The sequence below is a fragment of the Homo sapiens genome, chromosome 20 (genome assembly GCF_000001405.40).
Source record: "Homo sapiens chromosome 20, GRCh38.p14 Primary Assembly".
Lineage (NCBI taxonomy): Eukaryota > Metazoa > Chordata > Mammalia > Primates > Hominidae > Homo > Homo sapiens.
In genome coordinates, this window is record NC_000020.11 from 3,301,247 (window position 1) to 3,319,074 (window position 17,828).

The 17,828-nt window shown below is 43.8% G+C and overlaps 1 protein-coding gene across 5 annotated transcripts in view; it reads right to left on the minus strand.

Moving 5' to 3' along the window:
- The window catches only part of DNAAF9 (dynein axonemal assembly factor 9), a 158,364-nt gene that overhangs the window by 51,941 nt on the left and 88,595 nt on the right, over window positions 1–17,828 (minus strand). For 3 of the 5 annotated variants that reach the window (XM_005260684.5, NM_001009984.3, XM_047440081.1), the window contains exons 17-21: window positions 17,043–17,154; window positions 15,477–15,547; window positions 14,489–14,539; window positions 13,787–13,874; window positions 3,194–3,297 (exon numbers count right to left, since the gene is read on the minus strand). In XM_005260684.5, coding sequence (XP_005260741.1) covers window positions 3,194–3,297; window positions 13,787–13,874; window positions 14,489–14,539; window positions 15,477–15,547; window positions 17,043–17,154 — 426 coding nt within the window. Of the gene's footprint in view, window positions 1–3,193; window positions 3,298–5,637; window positions 5,956–6,274; window positions 6,392–13,786; window positions 13,875–14,488; window positions 14,540–15,476; window positions 15,548–17,042; window positions 17,155–17,828 lie in introns of those variants that run through there. The other 2 variants (XM_011529208.4, XM_005260687.6) reach the window with 2 other exon arrangements.

Sequence of the window (17,828 nt, forward strand, 5' to 3'; positions counted from 1 at the left end):
GCGCAATCTCAGCTCACTGAAACCTCCGCCTCCCAGGTTCAAGCGATTTTCCTGCCTCAGTCTCCTGAGTACCTGGGACTACAGGTGCACAGCACCATGCCCAGCTAATTTCTGTATTTTTAGTAGAGACGGCATTTCACCATGCTGGCCAGGCTGGTCTCGAACTCCTGACCTCAGGTGATCCGCCCTTCTTGGCCTCCCAAAGTGCTAGGATTACAGGCGTGAGCCACCACGCCCAGCCCCTTATCCTGTTTTTAAAACTTAATTTATCATCACCATCAGCCATGTTATCATACACTATCAGTAAACATTTCCAGTGACTGCACTCTCTTCCCCTCTTGGGCCACTTACACAGCTTGACATGAGCTATTCCAGTTCTCCTCTGCCAACAGTTCCTCAGGATTTATTCCTTAGTATAAATTAGTATGCTTTAATACTATATTAGTGTAATTTAACAATAAATGCTAAGTTACTGTTACATATGATAGCAGGAGGTTGTTAATGATGTAACTTCTTCTATCTGTTAAGTAGCCTCATGTCCTCTGAACATCCCTGAACTGGGACTCAGTGTTTTCATGTTAATAAAGATACAACTCTTCGCAGAAAAAAAATATTAACTCATTTGTCTAAATCACCAAAAATGTTTTTCCCAATTTTAAAAATTTGCCTTTTGAAATACTTTTAAAAAATTATATATATATATGTATATATATTTTGAGACATTCTCACTCTGCAGCCCAGGGTGGAGTGCAGTGGTGGGATCTTGGCTCACTGCAACCTCCACCTCCTGGGTTAATGCAATTCTCCTGCCTCAGTCTCCCAAGTAGCTGGGATTACAGGCATGCACCACCACGCCCAGTTAATTTTTGTATAGTAGAGGTGGGGTTTCACCATATTGGCCAGGCTGGTCTTGAACTCCTGACCTCAGGTGATCCACCTGCTCCAGTCTCCCAAGGTGCTGGGATTACAGGCATGAGCCACTGTGCCTAGCCATAAAAAAATTTTTTTATTTTTAATTAATACATAATATGCACATATTTATGGGGTATAATATATTGTTTCAATACATGTATACATTATGTAATGATTACATCAGGGTAATGAATGAGAAATCCATCAACTCAAACATTTATCATTCAGAATCTTCTCTTCTAGCTATTGTGAGATCTGAACACCTTATTGTTGACTGCAGGCACCCTACTGTGCAACAGAACACTAGAATTTACTCATCCTTTCTAACTTTGTATTCATCGATCTACCCCTCCCCATCCCCTAAAATACTTTTTAAAGGGTTTTTGCATTACTAATTAGTCTGACAAATTTTATGATATACCCATACAATGGAATACTACTTAGCAATAAAGAGAACACAGCTATTTACATACACAACATGGATGAATCTAAAAATCACTATGTTGAGTGGAAAATGTCAGACTCAAAGGTTACAGAATAGATGATGTTCATTTATATAACATTCTAGAAAATGCAAACTAATATATAGGGACAAAAGCTAATCAGTGGTTGTCTGAACCCAGGAGTGGAGGGAAAGATGAAAAAGGGCATGAGAAAACATTTTGGTTTGATAGTAAAGGTGGTTTCATGAATGTACACATCTGCCAAACCTTTAAATGGATACAGTTAGTTGTATTTACAGTATACTTTAATAAGTTAAATTATCAGCATAAAATTTTTAAAAATCAGTAACTGGTCAGCTGGGTGTGGTGGCTCATGCCTGTAATCCCAGCACTTTGGGAGGCCGAGGTGAGTGGATCACGAGGTCAGGAGATCGAGACTGTCCTGGCTAACATAGTGAAACCCCGTCTCTACTAAAAATACAAAAACAAAATTAGCCGGGCGTGGTGGCAGGCGCCTGTAGTCTCAGCTACTCAGGAGGCTGACGCGGGAGAATGGCGTGAACCAGGGAGGCAGAGCTTGCAGTGAGTCGAGATCGCACCACTGCACTCCAGCCTGGGCAACAGAGCGAGACTCTGTCTCAAAAAAAAAAAAAAAATCAGTAACTGGTCAAATTTGACAAACTTTTCCTTTAGAATTTCTTGTATTGTTTCTAAGCTTCAGAAGTCTTCTAACCCCTAGAGGTTTAATAAATATTCATTTTTATATTCTATTTGTGAAATTTAAATATATTTAATTTTAATCCCTCAGAAGTTCATTTTGATTTTTAGTAGAGGTAAGAGTCTATTTTTTGTCGAAATTAGCTACTTATCATCCCAGTACTGTGCTTTTCATGATGCATTCTTTCTTCCCTGATATTGGAAGACTCTTTAATCTAACAGCAACACTTTAATCTAATAGGGCCATCCAATGTGTCCAATTGGTCTGCCTACATTTCTGAACAGCCTTTAAGGCTGCAGGCTCTATATGGAAGAAAAACTTGCTCACAGAATTCGTTTTCTGAGCCATCTGACCAAAATACCTCACATAGTCTCTGTCCTAGCTCCCAGACAGACTGGTTTTGAGGCTGAGACCAGGCAGAGTGGTGGGCCTGCCCTCTGCTCTGGTGTTGCACTGAGACGAGCTGTGCCTTGGCCACAGGGTAAAGGCTAGGGGAAACCCATAGCTACCATCTTCCCCTTAAGGTGAATGGGAAGTGTTGGTGCAGACTGGTGAACTTAGAGGATTGTTATAGGACAGTGGAACTTTTATGGAGCTGGAGAGGAAGTCTGGGTGTGTGAGGGAGGAGGGGCTAAACTCTCACGGGGAAAGTGAGCCATTTCTCTCCCTCTCTGGCTCACTTACAATCCTGTCCATGCTAATGTGTATGCTGAGCCTCATCAATACCACAGGATGCAGCTCCTTTCTGATTTTTCAGTGGGTGAGCCTTGAGCCCCTGGACCTGGAGGCCACCCAAGAGGGGCCACTGGAGGCCTTCTCAGCCTGCTTTATAGTCCTCTTTAGGGTGAATGAATTGGGCATGGGGAGCTGCTGGCCCTTCTGACCAGAAGCCCTTTCTAGGTAAGCCCTTTACAGAGCAGTGAGGTTGATGAGGCTCGTAAGCGTCTTGAGAATGCCCAGGCCTCTCCACGACCTCCCTCCCTGCCTGCCTCAGTGGCTGTGCTGGTTCCTGACATACTGCCCTGTGGTAGTGGAGGGGAGAAAGGAGTTATTTAGTTTTCCCCTCAAAAGTGTGAGCAACTTTCCGACCAAAAAAGCCACTGACTAGTAAAACACCTACCCCATCATAGAAGGAAATGGAATTCATGTGATCCTTGGAAATGATGATACTTCTATGACGACAGTGAGAAAACAGAAGGCCACTAGAGAAGAAATGAACATTCCCTGGAAGGAAAAGAGAGTTGGTCAGAGCTGGAGGGCTGGGTGCTGGGGGTCAGATTCCAATGTCCTCTTGTACAGCAGTGTGGTAACTAGAGGCCAGTATCAGTAGCAATTACGTTATGCGATTTGTATGCTGAGCCCTGTGCTCTGAGGAAGCCAAAGTAACCTCCCAAAGCCTCAGAGGGAAATGAGGCATCAGATGCAGTCTTTGCATAAGAATTAGAAAAACAAGTGAATAAACTATCAGCTAATGGGGAGAAGCAAAATTCACATTACCTTATGGGTATCTTCCACGGAAACACACTAAAAAAGACTTTGGGTATATCTGCTCCATTACTGAGTTTACAGATTTTCCTTTCTTCTGCTTTGCCAGAAGCTGGCTCGGCCCTAAAGAGACCACATCCCTCACTTAGGGCCCGAGAAGGAGCACTTGGGTCTCAGCTGAAGACTGGTGAAGGGAGCTTAAGGTCCCTGTGCCCAGCAACAGAACATTTGAGTTAGGTAATGAGTAAGTTCTACAGACACTGGGGGGCTGCTCTTCTGTAGTTCACAAAAGCAAGATGGGTGACAGGTGGACATGGATGTGGGTTCCTCGGAACAAGGATTCAGGTCTAAGGAGAGCTGTTGTTTCCTGGATGGTCAAGGTCATATGGAGCAGCTCAGTATAGGCCCTAGGGAGCAGACCATGGAAAAGATGGACAACTAAGATGACAAAGATTAATGCTGGGCCTGGGCTTGCTTTGGAGACACAAAAGCAGCACCCAAAGCACCCATAAGACTCCTAGGTGAAGCTGCTCTCTGGGGCTGGTCCAAGCTGAATCTTCTATTCCTGTAACAGCTTTTCTTTCCATGTTTCCGCATATAGAGGGAGATGAAGTAGTTCTTAAAGCTCAAGGCACAGGTTTGAGTTTATTGTCATTAAGACCTCACTGCCAAGGCAAAGGCCAAGAGATAAATAAGTGAAATTGATTCCTTAAGTTGTAGCTCCAGAAAAGCAGTGCAAAGCTCTGGAGGCTGGAATGACAAGAATAGCAAAGGCCAGGAGTCTGAGGGCTGCCTTCACATCCTGGGTGAGGAATCTGGAGACTGCAAGCTTTGAGGGCTTCCTGAGGAGGTGAGGTTTCAGAAGGAAGGGAGGGGCCTAGTTAGTATGTGTTCACAGGGGACAGGAGAAGTGAAGGGAGAAGGAGGCAGTTTTTAGGTACAAGAAGAAGAACTGGCACCTGCCTCTCATGGAAGAACCAGATGCCCCGTCAGAGGGACATGCCAACCTTACCATCTGTGGCAGCCACAGCCAGCGACTATCTAGGTTCAAGCTCTGGAAACCTCTACCCTCCAACAAGTAGCCTGGCTTTCTGTGCACACTGCCTTTTCCTGAGGCCCTCTGAAAAGGAGGCTAATCATGCCCCAGCCTCATCCTGTACCAACCCTAAAGTTCCTCCATGCTGCTCCCAGGCCAGTCTCCCCAACACCACAGCATGTTACTTTCATTCCCCTAGAGACACAAGCCCCTCCCTCTACTGCTCACACCTACTGCCCTCCTGACCATGCCATATTTCAAATCACTCTGAATGTGCTCAGTCTTCCCTTCCAATGCCAACACTCCCATTCCTTCTTAGAGCAGTAAAGCTGCACCCAGAATGTCATGACTTCTGAAATCTCCAGCCCAGCAACTACTCTCTGACTCCAGCACCCCATCCCCCTTTTAGCTGTTTCCCTCCCCACACCCCATCCTCTGATGTCACTGAGCCTTCACAGTCATTGGTATTCGCATTTTCCCCTATTGCTCAGAAATTTCTGATATTCTTCTCATCCACATCAAGGGCAGATCCTCTGGGACAGGACTTAACCTTTAATCTTTGTTCTGTTAAAAGAAAGGAATGGGAACAGGTTTCACGCAGTATTTACTAAGCACCACACATGTCATACATTATAGTTTTCTGTTTTCACAATTGTAACAGGTGGTATTATTTTTTCTCATAGGACAGATGAGAAAACTCAAGCTTAGAGAGATTTCCCCCAAAATCACAGCATTACTTGGTGGTGGAGCCAGGTACAGAACACAGGTTTGTCTGATGCCAAAGACACTATACCATGCTGGTGCCTTCAGTTCTCTCATGTTTTTTTTCTTTCAATTCTCCCCTGTCCAAAGCCCAGCTGTGGTGAATCTGTAGATGTGCCTTCTCTGCTCCCTCAACCACAACAGGCCACAGTGCTGCCCCGTAGCCTGTTCACTGCTGTCTCCCCACTCCTTCCATCAGCCCACAGAGCTCATCCCAGACCTTCAACACTCTCCTAAAACCACAACCCCACCAACTCCTGCCACAAGATGACTCTACTTACTGTTTCCAGAGATAAGAGGGCTCCATAGGTGTCACGAGGTAGAAACTGCTCCTGCTGCTGAGTGGTTAGTACCTGCACCCTTCCCTGTCCTGGGTATCCCTCTACATTTGTACTTTTGAAGTGAACCTTTTTAGAAACAAGTCCAGTGCCACTTGAAAGGCCTCCTGGACAAAGCTCAAAATCCTGAAGCTTCCAGAAAAAAGCACAGATTGGAGAAGCTGGCACATTCCATTTACTCAATAGGAAGATGGGAAAGGATGAGCGAGGTCATCTCCAGCATTTCCTCTCCCACTAGACTCTGAAGCCTCAAAACAAAATGGAAAAGAGGAAGACAAATTCACAAGACAGTGCTGGAAGAGCTCATTATGGGGCATGAGCCAAGGCAAGGTCTCAGTAAACAGGATCTGATTTCAGTACTGTCCTGTGATCTGTCCTGTGATCGCAGCTGCCCCTTAGCCTGGCTCTATGAGCAGTAACTCTGCCATTATTCTCAGAGCACACATGAGATAAGTGAAGTGACTTACTGGGTGGCCCAGTGCCTGTGCTCTGGTCTCAGATCCTCATCTGCTTGAAGCAATAACCCTTCTGGTATCTGCTCTGGACTCTTGACTGTCAGACAGTGGTCTGAGGGCCATACCTTTGCAGGGGTTCACAGGGGCCAGGGCAGCCAACTCCTGAGGAGATCTCCCTGACTCTTTGTGCCATCCTTGGTGTCCTTAGTGGATGAACTCTGTCCTTCCTTCTCCATTCTGTAAGTCTGAAAACCCAGGATAAGAGGAAGTTTCCCATTATTGTCCCAAAACCAGGAGGACTGCAGTTTGGTTGTCTTTGATTGAGCTCTGTATCCCTGGAAGTCCAACAAAAGAGGGATGGGCCCTCAGGGTAAACCAAAATACCAAGCAAATGCCAAAGAAGAATTTCGCTTTCCTCTTTCAGAAAACTGGCTGTACAAATAAAAATCTTCCAACAGCCCAGTCTATGTGAGGAGGGAACATTTATCACTGCTGGGGAAATTTATGATGCAATGGCTAGATGATTTTCATCCTGTGTCTATAAATGTGTGTGAAATGTACACACAAGGTTTAAAAAAAAAAAAAAAAAAAAACTAAAGCAACAACTACAAAACCCAGATGTCTATGAACTCACCACTGGGCCTAAGAAATTGAGCATTACTAGCACCGTTGAAACCCCCTGGATGTCCTTCCTCAATGAGAGCCCTTCTCTTCCACCCAGGGGGAACAGCATCCTGAATTCTGGATGGTTTTACCACACTTGAATGTATTTGTAAACTGTGTATTACTTAGTTTTGTCTGTGTTTTTATATAAATGAAATCCTAATCATGTATTCTTCTGTGACTTGCTTACTTCTCCTGACATTCTGTTCCTGAATGTGACCTATGTTACAAGTAATATGCAGCTATACAGTTCCTTCATGCTCAGTGCTGTACAAAACTTTACTTTTTTTTTTTTTTTTTTTGAGATGGAGTCTCACTCTGTTGCCTTGGCTGGAGTGCAGTGGTGCCATCTCTGCTCACTGCAATCTCCGCCTCCCAGGTTCAAGTGATTCTTGTGCCTCAGCCTCCCAAGTAGCTGGGATTACAGGCATGCGCCACCACGGTCCAGCTAATTTTTGTATTTTTAGTAGAGATGGGGTTTCACCACGCTGGCCAGGCTAGTCTCGAACTCCTGACCTCAGGTGACCTGCCCGCCTCGGCCTTCCAAAGTGCTGGGATTACAGGTGTGAGCCACCGTGCCAGACCAAAACCTTCATTTTTAAAGTGTCCCTCCAGCCAGGTGCGGTGGCTCCCTCCAGCCAGGTACAGTGGCTCACGCCTGTAATCCCAGCACTTTGGGAGACTGAGGTGGGAGCTTCACGTGAGGCCTGGAGTTTGAGACCAGCCTAGCCAACATGGTGAAACTCCATCTCTACTAAAAAAAAAAAAAAATTAGCCAGGTGTGGTGCCACATGCCCACATGACTCCTCCTCCATGCATACATGGTAGGGGCTAAGCTCTCTGGTAGCTCTTATAAGGGCACCACATCCCAACAGACCTTGTCCCACATTCATGACCTCATCTAACCCCTATTTCCTTCCAAAAGCCCCATCTCCAGATAACATCACTTTTGGGGTTAAGGCTTCAACACTGGAATTTTGGAGAGGACACAAACATTCAGTCTCTAATGTGATAAGGCAAGTTCCCACCTTGTTTTTCTTCTTCAGGAGTATCTTGGCTGTTCTTAGCACTTTGCTCAAAGTTATTGACATTTTTATGTTGGCTTTTCAGGATTTTCAAAAAACTTGTTGGTTTTTTTTTTCCTGAAATTATGTTAAATTTAAAGATCACTTTGGAGAGAATTGTCATTTTTACCATGTCAAGTAAGTAAACCTGAGTTTTCCAGTCCATGAATGGGATGTGTGTTTATGTCATTTTTAATGCCTTTTAGTATAGTGTTATAATTTTCTCAGCCTCCAGACTGTGAGAAATAAATTCCTACTGTTAATCCACTCACTCTGTGGTATTTTGTTATGGCATCCCAAGCAGACTAAGTCACCATATAGAAATATGTTATCTATCTAAAATAAGACAATGTGTTATTTTCTTTCCCAATGGAACAGAACAGAGAGCCTATTAATAGATGCACACATAAAGAGACTTGATTTATAACAAAGCTGGCACTGCCGATCAGTGGGAAAACAATGATTTTTCAATAACTTTGCTGAGACAGGTGGCTACCTACATTTAAAAAATGAACTTAGACTTCTATCTCATATCACTTTCACAGAGCAATCCAGGTGGATTCTTTGAAAAATTATATTTTTATAATTCAACAGAAAAGTCTCAATAGATCTAAAATATATGAATCACATAGGAAATGATTAATTATCCTGATTACATTAAAACTAAGAACTTTTATTCATGAAAAAGCATCAGAAATAAAATAAAAAGACAAGCCACCAGGTGAAAGAAAATATTTGCAATATACTGAATTGACAAAGAATTAGTATCCAAAATCTATAAAGAATTCCTGGCTGGGCGCAGTGGCTCACGTGTAATCCCAGAACTTTGGGAGGCTGTGGCAGGCAGATCACCTGAAGTCGGGAGATTGAGACCAGCCTGACCGACATAGAGAAACCCTACCTCTACTAAAAACACAAAATTAGCCGGGCATGGTGGTGCATGTCTGTAATCCCAGCTACTCGGGAGGCTGAGGCAGGGGAATCGCTTAAACCTGGGAGGCAGAGGTTGCAGTGAGCCAAGATCGTGCCATTGCACTCTAGCCCAGGCAACAAGAGTGAAACTCCATCAAGAAAGAAAAGAAAGATGAACAAACGAACTAATGATCGAGAGAAAGAGAGAGAAACAGAGAGAGAGAGAGAGAAAGAAAGAGAAAGAAAGGAAAGAAAGAAAAGAAAAAAGAAAAGGAAAGAAAGAAAGGAAAGAGAAAGAAAAAGAAAGAAAGAAAGAAAGAAAGAAAGAAAGAAAGAAAGAAAGAAAGAAAGAAAGAATTCCTAAAATAGGCCAGGCGCAGTGGGTCACGCCTGTAATCCCAGCACTTTGAGAGGCCGAGGTGGGCAGATGACCTGAGGTCAGGAGTTCAAGACCAGCTTGGCCAACATGGCGAAACCCCGTCTCTATTAAAAATACAAAAATTAGCTGGGCCTGATGGTGCACGCCTGTAGTCCCAGCTACTCGGGAGGCTGAGGCATGAGAATTGCTTGAACCTGGGAGGTAGAGGCTGCAGTGAGCTGAGATTGCGCCACTGCACTCCAGCCTGGACAACAGAGTGAGACTTAGTCTCAAGAAAAAAAAAAAAATTCCTAAAATAAACAAGAAAAAGGCAATCTAAAAGAAACATGAGCAAAAAACAAGAACAAGCATTTAACAGAAGGGAAGTATAATAGCTTGGCCAATAAATAAAGACGGTTCACTAATAATAAGAGAAATGTAAATTAAAATCCTAATAATAACAGCACTGCACACTCACCACAGTGGCAAAACTGGCAAAACAGCAAGTGTTGGCCAGAATATGGAAAAACTCAAATACCTGTATGCTGCTGCTGGAAGTATAATTTGGGACAATCAATTTGTAAAACAGTCTGGCCTCATCAAAAAAAGCCATATGTGGGCTCATACTAAAATTCCAAATTTTTACTCTTCATTCCAACCCTACAGAAACATTTGCCCATGTGGACCAAGAGACATGCACAAGAATGCTCATAACAGTACAGTCTGCAATACCAAAAAAAGCCTATATTTACTTATTTATTTTTTAGAGTTAGGGTCTTGCTCTGTCAACCAGGCTGGAGTACAGTGGTGAGATCATAGCTTACTGCAGCCTTGAACTCCTGGGCTCAAGCCACCCTCCAGTCTCAGCCTTCCAAGTAGATGGGACTACAGGAATATGCCACCATGCCTGGCTAATTTTTTTTTTTTGGGTAGAGATGGGGTCTCACTGGTCTTGAACTGTGGGCTCAAGCAATCCTCCTGCCTCAGCCTCCCAAAGTGCTGGGATTACAGATGCTGGCTAATTTAAAAAATTCTTTTGTAGAAACAAGAGTCTCACTCTGTTGCCCAGGCTGGTCTTGAACTCCTAGCTTCAAGTGATCCTCCCACTTCAGCCTCCTGAGAAGCTGGGATTACAGGCACAAGCCACTGCACCTAGCACAAAAACTATAACTCACATGTCCACAAAGAGTCAAAATGATACTGCATGTTCATACAAAGGAATACTATAGGGCCATGAAAATGAGTAAGCTATATGGCTTACATACAACAAACTGGATGAATCCTAGGAATACTGAGCAAAAAAAGCAGGTCTACATTATGATTCTATTTGTATTAAGTTCAAAATAAGATATTGTCTAGGTATATAGGCATGTGTGGTAAAACTCTAAAGCAGGTTCCTGAGGATTAGGTACTGGGCAGCCTGCCTGGCCACAGACAGCAGGGCGGGGAAGAGAAGGGCACATGAAGGACACGAATGAATGGGAAGTTGAAAAGCAAGACATCTTGTGATAGCAGACACCACTAACTGGTGAAGAGAAACAGTTCTAGAGCTGAAAAAAACTTCAAGGTAAAGGAAGCACTATTCTCTTTTTTCTTTTTTTTCTTTTTTTTTTTGAGACAGAGATCATTCTTGTTGCCCAGGCTGGAGTGCAATGGCACAATCTTGGCCCACCACAACCTCTGCCTCCCAGGTTCAAGCGATTCTCCTGCCTCAGCCTCCCGAGTAGCTGGGATTACAGGCATGCGTCACCACGCCTGGCTAATTTTGTAGTGTTAGTAGAGACGGGGTTTCTCCATGTTGGTCAGGCTGGTCTCGAACTCCCGACTTCAGGTGATTCGCCCGCCTTGGCCTCCCAAAGTTCTGGGATTACAGGCATGAGCCACCACACCCTGCCAGGAAGTACTATTCTTTTCATCTGTAAGTAATTGCTGGGTGAAAAATCAGAAGACCTGTACTATCCTCCAGACCTGGACTACCCTCTAGATGCTGCCATTAACTTGTACTACATCTCAGTCAGGGTGAGGGGGCTTTAAAAAAAAAAAAGTATGGAAAAAATAACAACTTGCACAACATCAGGCGAGTTTTCACCTTCTATGGGACTCAGGATATGAAGATCAATAAAGATAATGCATCCTGAGGAGCTGAAGATAAGTACCTTCAGGGGATGGGAACAGATAAATTTCAAACTCATCACAGTCCCAAGTAAAGGCAGATTTATAAAGACAAAGACACTAAAGACACTTGAACTTCAGGACCCCTTACCTGCCCAAGTCCCCTTCTAAGGCTCTAAGAAGAGCCCTAATCATTTTGTAGTATTTTCCTCAAGAGAGTCCACAAATGGTACAAACTTCAAGCCCCACAAAACCTACATCAGCTCCTGATCTGAATCCCAAAGTGGTAAAATGCTTATCCACAGGAAGGGGAGACTCCTGTTTAAATTCTCTGCTTCTATTCAATTTCCCTGCCTCAGAAAACCATCTCCTAATTCAAACTAGATTCCCCTCAGCAACAAAGAAAGTTTAAAATTTAAGTTATCAAAAGACTATGACTAATAAGCCTCCAGAAATCCCTGGCTGTGCCCTTTATCTTGCACAGAGACCTTAGGATACACTGAATCTTGCTGGATAACTCAATACAATGCAAGACTATTTTTCTAACAAGGCCCTCTGCTAAGAAGGTGCAAACTAATTTTGGCAAATATCCCGGCTAAATATTATAATTGGCTCAAGGATGACACAGCACAAACCACCTCTGTGTTGTGCCTACAATCTGCTTTCAAAACACTATGCAATCTTGCCTCAAGGCTGGTAGTATTACCACATACTCCCTGCCTTCAGCAAATGTTCTTAACTCCTGGGTTCTCTGCACCAGGATCTGGAGAGGCAGAAGTGCAGGGACAGATGTGTTAACAAATGCCATTACCACTCCAGCAGTATGTGGATAGAAAACCAGAACTCCTTGTGCTTTGTCTTCTGTGTGAATGAAGGGGCAGAAGCTGAACCAGTGATCTGAGAACAGGGAGAGGAATTTGCCACCGGATAGAATATTTTCAACAAGAAGAACAAATCATCCAGAAAGGGGATTTGCTTAGTAGAGGTTGAGGAATTTGTAGAGTAAGTCAGAACTCCTCCCTCACATAAAGGCTATATTCAACAGGGAAAGAACAGGAGTCATAAGAAAATGTTATTTTGAGGAAGCCAAAGAGGAACTTGCAGTAAATCCCTGTAAAATCCATGCAAGACCAACAAGGTTTTTGAGGATTTCATATGAGCAGAAACACTGCCAGTTTGGATTGAAAGGGACAGATAACATATAAAATTGAAGGAGACTGTTGGACCCTCAAAATTCTACTGGCAAGAGGCAGGCTGTTAAAACTGCTCAGCTACAAACAAAGTACTACCTTTCACTGAAAAAGGAAGGATGACAGCGGTGTAGCTATAAGCTCAGAGGGTGGAGCCATGAGCCCAGAGCAAACCAAGAGCAAACAGGGTAGAACCAAGAGCACCGAGGCAGAGCTGAGAGCCAGAATTATTCCCAGGCCTTGAAACCTTATCAAGGAACTGAAGTCTGCCCAGCTGAATTTCAAAGCTGCCATGGGCTGGTGACTCCTTTTTACCTTCTGTTTTTCCTCTTTGTGAACCTGAAGTCTATGCCAGTCCCACCTTGCATGTTGGGAGGGCTGCAGGCAGATGACTTGTCTCTTTAGTTTCGTAGGTCCACAGACATGGAGAGAACTATGTTCAGGAGCTGTAGACAGATTACACTCCCAAGCCTCATTTACATGGGACTTAGATGAGCTTGATCATGAGATTTTAGATATTTAAGCCCATGAGATTTAGGACTTTGAACTGTAGCCATAATGGGATGAGACCCTTGGGAGGAGGTAACAAGGGACATGAATTATGGGGGGCAGAGGGTGGGCTGGGATAGGCAAAAACTTGACATGCTGATAGCCGAAGAGGAATTAGAGAGACTCAAAGTGTGTGAGAGATTCAATACAAGAAGGTTCTTTATAGCTGAGATGGAGGGGGTCACAAGAGCAAGGACTTCTGGGAGGAGGAGCTGAGAGGATCCCTGTCTGACAGCCACCAACAAAATGGGGACCTCATTCCTACAAGCGAAAGGAAACAACATCCTTGCTGAGATTGGGAGAAGATTCTTCCCCAGAGGCTCTAGATAAGAGCCTAGCCTGGCTGATGCCTTGATTTTGACCTCAAGAGATCTGGGTCCAGCCAAGCCTGCCTGAACTTCTGACCTGGAGAACTGTGAGATAATAAGAGGGTGTTGTTTTAAGCTACTAAATTTGTGGTCATTTGTTACACAGCAAGAGAAATGAATCCAGCTTCTGTTTAGGTCCACAAATTCTATTTCTGGAAATGCTGCTGCCCTAGCCCATTGAGAGAGCTAACTAACCTCAGGCAGCAACAAAAGGACCAGGTACAGTTCTGTGATCAGCCCTTCCTAGCATAAATTTCCTCATCTACAAAGTGGGTGGGTCGAGAGAAAAGCTGTAGGAAAACATTTCTGTACCACAATTGTGTTCAAATAGAAGATGTATTATTAATTACAACACCCATGCTGACATCTGCAAATGAGGGACCCAGACATGGCCAAAAACATTAAAGTCATAGCTCCTTACCTTCCTCAGGCCAGGACTGTAGATTGCTGGAATAAAGATATGCTCCTTCTCCTCCTGTTAGATAAGTGCCCAGGAAAGACTCATCCCCCTTTAAAAACAACAACAAAAACAAAAATCCAAAAAAGAATAGGTGATTTATAGCATAAATATTCACAGAATCAAAAGTCCTGCCCAATTATGTCCGTCTACAAAAGCTGAGTCAGGCTCAGATATGCCCAATGTATTCCATGGCCTTTGGCATTGTCTGGCTCTTTGGCAGTTACTGGCATCCTTGATTTGTGCTGAGAAAAAGAACATTAAGATTCTCTCTGAGTCCAGGCATCAAAGCCCGCAATGCTTGTTCATGTTCCAGTGGATTTATTTCCTTTGTGAAAACAGAGGCAGCTTCTCCTTGGCCTAAAGCCTTGATGTCTCAGCTCTACATGTCTAGGCCAATCTGGGATCTGCTTTTAATATTATGGGGAGATTTTTAAAAGAACACCAGAAGGCCCTGATGGAATAAAGAATCCCTCTAATTGTATCCCCCATAAATGGTTATTTCTAAAGCTCTGCTGGGAAGGGGAGGAATGCAAATAGGAAGTGAAGACAACATAGTGCAAGTCTTTTAGATTAGTAGTGAGATGAAGCATTTTAATACCTTTATGAATTGCTTACATTATTTTTTGATATAATGTTCACACTGAGAATAAGAAGGCTGCTTACCCTCACTGCTTGCTGGGTTTTCTCAGACAATTTTACTTCATTATCTTCCACCTGTGTCCAAAAGGAATGCAGATTTTCAGTCAACTACTTCAAGGGAAAACCCTGCTAGGTCTCCCCACTGTGTTCAAATATTTCCAGGACACTGGCTGGACAGTCCTTCCACCATGTCCATGTCCAGTGCTCTCAGGCCCTGACACACCTGAGATGTCTGCTGGTCACCTGGGCTCAGAGCCCAAGGCCTTGGTGGGCTCTCTCACTAGGACCTGAGGTCCAGCTAATGAGCTTATGACAAGCAGAGGGGATGTGTTAGTCTCCACCTGTATTTCACTTCAGAAAAAAACAACTGTTTTTAGGGATGAAGCAAAGATAATGTATTAAAATATTTTCAGATTTAAACACGTTTAGGTTAGAGGATAACTCTCGGTCTTCCCTGTCTGTGTGGGAACTGTAGAAGCAGAATGTGAGCACTCTCAAGAAGGGACTCAGCCCATTAGCAGACTAACTGCTGTCACACCTTTTACATTCCAAGGCCCCAGTTTCAGACCAAGTCCCTCCCACTGCGGAAGATGGGACTTTTCTACTAGCAGAGAGATGTTGCAGTAAAAACTCCGTAGCAACCACTCTACCAGGGAAGCAAGTCACGGGATCCACTTCTCATGATTTGTGTGACCTTGGCCGGGCCGTTCAACTCCTAAGCTCAGTTTCCTCATTTGTAAAATGAGGCTCTTAATTTCTTCCTTTCCTAATTTAACAGTGACCCACGTAACTTTGTTCCTTTCTTTTGAAACTTTTCTAAGATTATGAGAGTTAACGGAACTATGTTCATTTGTATAAAGAGAAAGGGCTGGGATCAAAAATTCCATTCCTGAACAACAGCTAGTTCAGGACCTGACATCCCACCAGGGGCCCAACAAAGAGGCTCTTCCTCAAGTGTTCACCCTGATTTCTCCACACGTAGGTCCACTTCCACCTGATGAATGACACTAACCAGCCAGGAGCAGAATCTGGGTACAGCAGCAGTCAGGACTACGGAGCTGGTTTCTGTGGTAACAGTGCCATCTGCAGGAACACCACACACATGCCAGTTAATTCCCTACCAGCTCAGCCTGCCTTGCAGGCCCCAGACCCTAAATGCCCTTCTCAGGAGCTAGGGTTCTTTTTTTTTTTTTTTTTTTTTTGAGACAGAATCTTGTTCTGTCACCCAGGCTGGAGTGCAGTGGCGCCATCTCGGCTCACTGCAACCTCTGCCTAGCAAGTTCAAGCAACTCTCTTGACTCATCCTCCCGAATAGCTGGGATTACAGATGCGTGCCACCATGCCGGGCTAATTTTTGTATTTTTAGTAGAGATGGAATTTTGTCATGCTAGCTAGGCTGGTCTCAAATTCCTGACCTCAGGTGATCTGCCAGCCCCAGCCTCCCAAAGTGTTGGGATTGCAGGCAACATGGCAAAACCCCGTCTCTACAAAAAATATGAAAAATTAGCCAGGTGTGGTGGCGCATCTGTGGTCCCTGCTACTTGGGAGGCTGAGGTGGGAAAATCGCTTGAGCCCAGGAGGTGGAGGTTGCAGTGAACCGAGATTATGCCACCACACTCCAGCCTGGGTGACAGAGCAAGACCTTGTCTCAAAAAAAAAAAAAAAAAAAAACCCCAAAACCAAGAAACAAAACTTTTGGGAATTAGTCCATTTTACCACTACTTTTTAATTTTTATCAAGGTAGTATAGGTATACATATTAAAGATCAAAGAGAATTATCAGGCTCATTCTACCATTCTTTAGAATATTTTCATTCCTTAGAATATAATAAATCTTTAGAATATTTTGCCAACCTAACAGGTAAAAAAATAATATCTAATTACTGTTTCAAATTGCTTTTTTTTGAGACAGAGTCTCACTCTGTCACCCAGGCTGGAGTGCAGTGGTGCGACCTCAGCTCAATGCAACCTCCGCCTCCTAGGTTCAAGTGATTCTCCTGCCTCAGCTTCCCGAGTAATTGGGATTACAGGCACCCACCACCATGCCCGGCTAATTTTTGTATTTTTAGTAGAGATGGGGTTTCACCATGTTGGCCAGGCTGGTCTCAAACTCCTGACCTCAAGTGATTCGCCCACCTTGGGCTCCCAAAGTGCTGGGATTACAGGCATGAACCACCACGCCCAGCCTTCAAGTTGCTTCTTCTTGACTACTAGTGAGATTACATATCTTCATTTATAAATAGTCCTCCTCTCTTTTTTGTTTTCCACGTCTGTGAAGTGCCTGTTCATTTTTTTTGCTCATTTTACTATTGGGTAGCTTATCTTTTCTTATTAATTTTGGAAGAGTTCTTCATAAATTAGGTTATACACCCTTTGTTCATCTTTAATGTTTCTCTTTTTTTTTTTTTTTTGATACGGGGTCTCACTGTGTCACTGAGGCTGGAGTGCAGTGCTGTGATCATCAGTTCTAATATTTTTACCAGTTTATTGTTGGCCTTTTGCCTTAGTTTATAGTTTATTTTGCCAAAAAAAAAAAAAAAAGGCTTAAGGTTTGCTTTCTAAAGATCACATATACTTACCCTTTTCTTTAACTAAGATCTGAGAAGTCAAAAATGATTCAGAGAAAACCACAGATCCTAAACAACCATTGCCTCCCAGTAAGTCAGGAATGTCATAGACGGCCATACAAGCCTGCATTGAATGAGAAACCAGTTAGATCAGTTACCAGCCCAAAACTTTCAGAGAAGTCCATAAGAATGAGACCACAAATACTGCCTAAAGGAACATGGCAAAAGAGTACTGAAGAGTTTCTAGGGAAAACTGGAGTTATCCTAAATACATCTTTGAACTGGGAGGTGACTTTAGGATCACCCAGGCTTCCCTGAAATTGCTCCCTGATCAGAGACACCCTTGGGCTATAAGGAAAGTATCCTTATGTTTCCGTATATTCCCTCAAATTGCTTTATGCTGACTAGGCACAGTGGCTCATGCCTGTAATCCCAGTAATTTGGGAGGTCAAGGAACCCAGGAGTTTGAGACCACCCTGAACAACACAGTGAGATCCCCACTCTACTAAAGAAAAAATTAGGCTAGGCATAATGACTCATGCCCATAATCCCAACACTTTGGGAGGTTGAGGCGGGTGGATCACTTGAGCCCAGGAGTTTGAGACTAGCCTGGGCAACATGGTGAAACCCCATCTCTACTAAAAATACAAAAAAAAATTAGCCAGGCATGGTGGCGTGTGCCTGTAATCCCAGCTACTTGGGAGGCTGAGGCAGGAGAATTGCTTGAACCTGGGAGGTGGAGGCTGCAGTGAGCTGAGATCGCGCCACTGAACTCCAGCCTGGGCAACAGAGCAAGAC